The sequence below is a fragment of the Homo sapiens genome, chromosome 2, assembly GCF_000001405.40.
Source record: "Homo sapiens chromosome 2, GRCh38.p14 Primary Assembly".
NCBI lineage: Eukaryota > Metazoa > Chordata > Mammalia > Primates > Hominidae > Homo > Homo sapiens.
This window is the reverse complement of record NC_000002.12, coordinates 168,269,244-168,277,338: the sequence shown is the minus strand read 5'-3', so window position 1 is coordinate 168,277,338 and position 8,095 is coordinate 168,269,244.

The following is an 8,095-nucleotide window of genomic DNA, read 5'->3' as shown; positions in this document are numbered from 1 at the left end:
ACAAGAATTTCAGGAGATGAGGGGACAGGAACCTGTGTTCTAATAAGCACTCTGGGTGATTTTTAAGTGCTAAAAGAAGCATTGTTGTAGTAGATGGGCTTGAGCAATATAAATAATCTTAAGTTTTAAAAATCCACCTTGCTTGAACAATGTAAACACACTAAGTTTTAAAAATCCACCTTGCTTCCCTCATAATCCTTGTATATGAGAAAACATTAGAGCTGAATACAGAAGTCAGCATTAGTAAAATAAAATGGAATATTTACATATTTATGAAATAAAAACTTTCTTACATTCTTAAGAATAAATTATTTCCTATACCCCCATACATACAAGTATTTATTTATTCATAACTACCAACTGACATTATTCTTGATATGGGAAAATTAGACACATTCTCATTAAATCACAAGCAAGATATCAATACAATCATTATTTTTTACTATTGTCTTTTCAGAGTTAGCCAATGCAATTTGTCTCCAAATCAAAGTAAATATGATAAATACTAGAAAGGATGGCGTAAATTTGTCATTATTTATAAATCATATGATTGTCCTATTTTTAGAGAAATAAACTTGCTTAAAGAATCATGTAAGGCTGGGCATGATGGCTCACACCTGTAATCCTGGCCCAAAGAAGGCTGAGGTGGGCAGATCTCTTGAGCTCAGGAGTTCAAGACCAGCCTGGGCAACATGAGGAAATCCCATTTCTATAAAACACAAAACAAAACAATACAAAACAAAAATTAGCCATGTGTAGTGGCAGATGCCTGTAGTCTGAACTACTTGGGAGGCTGTGGTGGGAGGATCACTTGAGCCTGGGAGGTCGAGGCTGCAGTGATCTGTGAATATGCCACTGTACTCAAGCCTGGGTGACAGAATGAGACCTTGTCTCAAAAAGAAAAAAAAATCATGTGAAAACTGGGGAAAAACCTAGCACTATAAATATGCCAATTTTCCAAAGTCTAATCTAGGTAATTAGTGACATTGAACCAAAATTTAATTTTAAAAATACATAAAACAATCTTAAAGTTCATCGATGAGCAAAAATACCTATGAAAATTTTGGGGAGAAAACTGAGATCTTGGTTTACCATATATTATATGCACAAAAAAAGAGAAGGAAAATAAAACATTGCAGTAGTCAAACCACAATAGGAGGGCAAAACAATAGAACAAAATGGAAAATATATAGAATACATTATTTGTATATATAAAAGTATATACACAAATATTTGTATATATACAAGTATATACAATATTTGTATATATACAAGTATATACAAATATTTGTATATATACAAGTATATACAAATATTTGTATATATACAAGTATATACAAATATTTGTATATATACAAGTATATTCAAATATATAGAATCAGATATATATATATATACATATAATTTAATGTATGAAAAAAGAAGCATTTCAAACTAGTAGGGAATGAGCAGCCTAGTCAATAAATGGCACTCTTCATATGCTTTGACCCAGTAATATGTGTATAAAGGGATATCCCAAATACTCATAAGTATATTTTTAGTACATGACAATGGTGGCATTTTAGAATGAGAAAAAATATCATTTACTGACTCCATGGCACAGGGATAATGGGTTATATTATCTATTATGTGAGAAATAAAATTATGTTCCTGTCTCCTATCACACAAAATAAAAAGACTAAAACATTAAATTATTTAATGGATGAAAATGCAAATTAAAGTTAAAATAAGATACTGTCTTAAACTTATCAGATGAGAGAAAGTTTGGTATCACACTATGTTGGTGAATATGTAGAAGGAACAGAAACATTAAAATATTATTTGTAATGTATAAATAGTTCTCTAGAAGACTATATGGCAATATCCATAAAAATTTAAAACACTCATCCTCTTTAATTCAATGCTATCAGTCAGTCAGCCTTCTCCAGAGAAACAGACTCAATGGAATACATGTATAAAGAGTGTTATTTTAAGGGATTGGTGCAGATGATTGTAGGGTCTGGCAAGTCTAAAATATGTGGGGCAGGCCAGCAGGCTGAGAATTCAGGCAGGAGTTAATGCTACAGTGTTGGGGAAGAAGTCATCCTTTTTCTGAAAACCTTAGTGTTTGCTGTTAAGGCCTTCAACAGATTAGATGAGACCCATCCATATTTTTAAGGGTAATCTTTGCTTAAAGTCAACCGATTGTAAATATTAACCGTAATATCTTAATAGCATACCTAGATTTGATTAAATAACTGGATACTATAGCCTAGCCAAGTGACATATAAAACTATCACACTCGCCAATCTTCATTTTTAAGAGTTTACATAAAGATATACTTTCACATATAAAATTTTGTATTTACACACACATATGGAAAATCTTTTGCAGCATTTTTTATGATAACAAAAGACTAGGAACAATCTAAGTGCAGGGAAACAGAGCTGGTTAAATACTGTGTATACTGAGATGAAATAATAACTGAAATATTGTTAGGTTAAAAAACAAGATACGGTTTTGTGTGAAAATATCTTTAAAAGGAATTCATACTTGTATGTATTTAATATGCATAGACTATCTCTAGAAGTATATACAAAAACCGGGTGGCAAAGTAATGGCTAGGATAGAGACTCACCTTTTACTTGTATAGTCTTTGCACCTTTCAAATTTTGAGCTATATATAAATGACTATGTTAAACATTCCCAATATTCATTAATTAAAAAGTAGACTGGCTATGCATCTCCACAATGGCTAAAATTAAAAAGACTGACAGTGCTAAATGCTGGCTAAGATGTGGAGTAACCATAATTCTCATGTACTCTTGGTGGGACTATAAAATTGTACAACCATTTTAAAAAGTCTTGGCAATTCACTGCAAAACTTAACATATACCTACCCAAGAGCCTAATAATTTTACTCCTAGGTGTTTACCTAAGAAAAATGAAAGCATATGTGAACAAAAAAGACAATTGTACCAGAACATTCATAACAGCTTTATTTGCAATAGCCAAAAACTAGAAACAGCCCAGGTGTTCATCAGCAAAAGAATGGCTGAACCTACTGTGGTATATTCATAGAATGGAATACTACTTGGTAAAAAAATGAAAGAAACTGCTCCTAGATGCAACAGTATGGATAAATTTCAAAAACATTATGCTGAGTGAAAGATGTTTTTAACAAAAGACTACATATAATTCCATTTTCATAAACTTCTAGAACAGGTAAAATCCATGATGGAGAAAACTAGAAGAGTGGTTGCCTCTGAAGGGCAAGGTAAGTGTTGACTGAGAAGGGAAGGAAGGCATTTTCTGGGGTTCATAGTAATGTTTTATAACTTAATAGAGGTTCGGGTTTACATGTTAAAAACTTATAGAATGATACACGTAAGATTTGGGTATTTCATTGTAAATTTCACCTTAAAAATCTTAAATATTGAACTCTAATTAATTATATGCATGCACAGTTAGTTTTTTTTTTTTGCCTATCAGGGCAGGAAAGTTGGTTTGTTTTCAATGTAAATATATAGTAGTGGCTAGGACTCAGTGAAATGGGCACTGTTATACACTTATTAATGGGAATGTTAATGTGCAAATATGTTTATTATGTCATTATTCATAATATCAATTAATTGGAATTGATTTTTTAAATTGACAATATTTTAAAGTTAATGTAAGATGGAATACGAAGCAAACATTTTTAAAATTGTAGAACATCAATTGCAAGGAAACATGTTCAGGGATGTTTTAAAATAAAAATTTTATTTAAAAAGTGAATACATCAAATTGCACGGGCGCAGTGACTCACACCTGCAATCCCAGCACTTTGGGAGGCCATGGTGGCAGATAGATCACTTGAGGCCAGGAGTTTGAGACCAGCCTGGTCAACATGCTGAAACCCTGTCTCTACTAAAAAATTTTTAAAAATTAGCCAGGTGCAGTGGCACACGCCTGGAATCCCAACTACTGGGGAGGCTGAGGTATGAGAATCGCTTCAGCCTGGGAGGCAGAGGTTGCAGTGAACGGAGATCATGCCACTGCACTCCAGCCTGGGTGACAGAGTAAGACTCTGTCTCAAAAAAAAAAAAGAAAAGAAAAGAGGTCGGGTGCGATGGCTCACGCCTATAATCCCAGCACTTTGGGAGGCTGAGGTGGGCGGATCACGAGGTCAGGAGATGGAGACCATCCTGGCTAACGCGGTGAAACCCTGTCTCTACTAAAAAATACAAAAAATTAGCCGGGCGTGGTGGCGGGCACCTGTAGTCCCATCTACTCGGGAGGCTGAGACAGGAGAATGGCGTGAACTCGGGAGGCGGAGCTTGCAGTGAGCTGAGATCACACCACTGCACTCCAGCCTGGGCGACAAGGGGAGACTCAGTCTCAGAAAAAAAAAAAAGAAAAGAAATAATAATAAAAAAAGAAAGAAAGCAAATATATCAAATTATATAAAAATGTTTCTATATTTAGAAAATGTACTGGTAACAGATAAACTAAAATTTTATTAAGGTTATTTTACAGTAGTATACCATATACTATTTTTATTCCTCTTCCTGCATTTCAGTACTATTCAAATTTTCTATAATTAACATACATTAATTTTGAGTAGAAAATAGAGTGCTATTCTTGAAAGTAAATAACTCAAATTTTTGTAGGAGTCAGAAAATTTAAAGAAAGTTAACTGAGACTAGTAGTTAGCTGTATAACAAGTCACCCCAATACATAGTCTTTAAAATAATAACCATTTATTTAATTCATGATTCTGTGGGTCAGTAATGTGGGCTAGGCTGAGCTGGGTGGTTCTTCTGGTCTCAGCTGGGCTAATTTACATGACTGTGATCAGTTTCTGGGTTGACTAGGAATGGCTCGTTGTTGGCTAAAGTGTCTTGGCACTCTTCCATGTTGTTTCTGATCTCTAGCAGGCTGTGTACATTGTCACTCATCAAGTTTACGAAAGAGCTAGGGGACATGTGCAAGGCTCTTGAAGTTCAGGCTTGAAACTGGCAGGTATTGTTTCTGTAGCATTCCATTAGCCAAGGCAAGTCACAAGACTAGTCCAGATCCCAGTAGTAGGAAAAGAAACTCCACCTATTAATGGGAGGAGCTGAAACGTTACATCATGAAAAGACTTAGATATGGAGTATGGAAAAATTTGTGGCCATTTTTGCAAATCCATTACATCAAACACTAGTCCTTGTATTATATAGACAGATAATATACCAAATGTTAAGGAAATAAATTGTATGCAAAGATCCCTGCCTGGTATAAAAATAAAATTAGTGGTAAAATTATAAGTAATCAACCAATTTATATATAATTAATTACCAAGCTAATAATACAAATGTGTACTTTTTTTTTTTGAGACGGAGTCTTACTCTGTCTCCAGGTTAGAGGGCAGTGGTGGAATCTCGGCTCACTGCAACCTCCACCTCCCGGGTTCAAGCGATTCTCCTGCCTCAGCCTCCCAAGTAGCTGGGACTACAGGCATGTGCCACCACACCCAGCTAATTTTTTAAATTTTTAGTAAAGACAGGGCTTCACCATGTTGGCCAGGATGGTCTTGATCTCTTGACCTCGTGATCCGCCTGCCTCAGCCTCCCAAAGTGCTGGGATTACAGGCGTGAGCCACTGCGCCCAGCCCACAAATGTATACTTTTATAATAGTTATTCAACATGGCAAGACACAACTTACTATTTCATTTTTAGATCTGGAAAACCTTAGTCATGTGAAGTTTAATGGGCCTGATTCATTTTAGAAAAAAAAAAGAAATGTAGGAAGCAAATGTAAGAATTCAAAACCAAACAAAAACTTCAAGTATAGTCCGATTCATTGTCAGTCTCTAATATTTGTATTGAATTTCTGCCAGTTTATTTTTCCCTAGTCATGTGGAATTCTGATCATTAGAAAATTTAGCTGGCTGAATGAATTTACATGCACAATACATTTACACACATGGGCATGTATACACACACACCACACATCCCTACACAAATTCTCCCCTTCCTAAGAGTTAATATACTCTATGCACATCTTTAAACTCTAGCCAATTGAAAATGTTAGCATAGAAACGCTGTAGAATTCTAAACTAGTATCCTTTCTCGAGAATGTCTAGAAAACTATGTGGATACATACACGTAGAAAAATATGTATGTACAGGTTTATACATAGTTAAAATGATTGAAAAATCCAGAATTTTAAATCTAGAGTGTACCTTGGAGATCATATACAATCATAGTTTCATACAGATGTGATAACTGGGGTTGAGGAAATTAAGTGAGTGATTTAATAATTCTAAAATGGTAATTTCTGAATAAAAGGAAGAATTTCAAGAACAATCTATAGTAGATATGGTAGATTGGTGCTTCATATTTATCCCATCTTCCTGTACTGCGGAGGCTTGTAAGGAATATGGCCGTGCTTTGGTCAAGGATAGACCAAGGTAGGATGTTTACATCCTGCGTGACTTAGCGAGTTTAAAGTACAGGCATATAACTCCACTTGTTATCACAGCCATTTAGCCATAATGGGAAGGCTACCACTTGGCCTAAGCCACTATTGTCTGTAAAAGGCATAATTGCCCTCTCGATACTATGCAGGTGCACTGGTGCCCAGAGAGAGAGAGCCAAACCTGTCTATCTTTGCAGATAGACAGAGGGGAGCCAGGACACAGCTCAGGTCACTTGTGCCCAGAGAGAGAAAGAGTTAAGCTGCTGACCCTGAAGGCAAGGGAGAGCCAGCTGTGCAGCTACATGTGGGGGCCACCAGACTAAGTAGCCATGACAGGGCAGACAGTATGAGAAATCTGTTGATGAGAGCTGCTGCTGAATAAAATCATCTTTCACCTGCCCACGACCCCTGAGTGTTCTTTCTGCTCATCCACCCACTCTCTTGAACCTCAGCATGGGCTGGAACCTGACCCTGAACATGACATTTGGCATAATCATGAACCTGACAAGGCTGGAAAACTAGTAACTACACTTCCCAGACTCTCTTACAGCTAGGATTCTGGATGTGATTTAAGATTAACCAATTCATTTTCTCAACAGAAATCATATTGTTCACGCTGAATTGATCCACAAGGTCAAACAGTCCAGCTTATTATGCAAAATTTTTTTTATTTCTTTTTTTCTTCTTAAAAATAAAACAAAAACGGGATACATGTGCAGAATGCGCAGGTTTGTTACATAGGTATACGTGTGCCATGGTGGTTTGCTGCACCTATTGACCTATCCTCTGAGTTCCCTCCCCTCACCCCCAACCCCCCACTATGCAAAAATTCTAAAACATTTGTGAGATTGGGTGCAGCACAAATAATTGCTTGATTACTCATTTTTATTCACTACACTTTGCTGTGAACAACTTTGGGCTGGTCCTTAAAATCAGAGCCATTCTGATTTTCTAAAAGAAAAAAAGCAACTGGAAAAGAAAAGAAAACTCACCATCGAGGATATTCAAGAGTGTGACTCCCGTTCTAAGGGCAATTCTGACAGAAAAGATTCAAAATACTTGGGGCAATACTTAAAATAACTACATAGTTCCCAATGTGACTTACTTAAATAGAACAATGCTCCCTTAGATTTTGAAGTTTTTATTTTAAATTGGGTTTTATTGCTGGATAATTACAACATTTATACCATGTTAATCTGTCAATCAGGGATACTTAAAAATCTTTCAACTACCCTCTCCCACTCCAATAGAGTATTTCTTGGAACAGTAGAACAATGGAAAGAACATTACTGTTAAACTGATTAGACTCTCACTTATTAGCTACAAATATTGTTAAAGTTATTTCTCTTTTCTGGGCCTCAGCTTTCTAACCTGTTAAATGCAGATAGCATGTTGTACTTGCCTAATTAATAAAGTCGCTCATATATAGTTTTTCAATAAATATTAGCTCTCTTCCCCCCAGCTCTATCTAATTATATACAGTAGTTTTTCAATAACTGTTAGCTCTCTTCCCTCCAGCTATGTCTAATTAGGGCTTTACTGATAGACCCAGAAGTAGCAATTGGAAACGAAACTGTTGAGATTTCAGAAGTACTGGGTAAGAAAGATGTATGTTTTACATTGGGAAGCATTTTCTTTTACCCATGATAAAAAGCAAAATCTGAAGTTTAA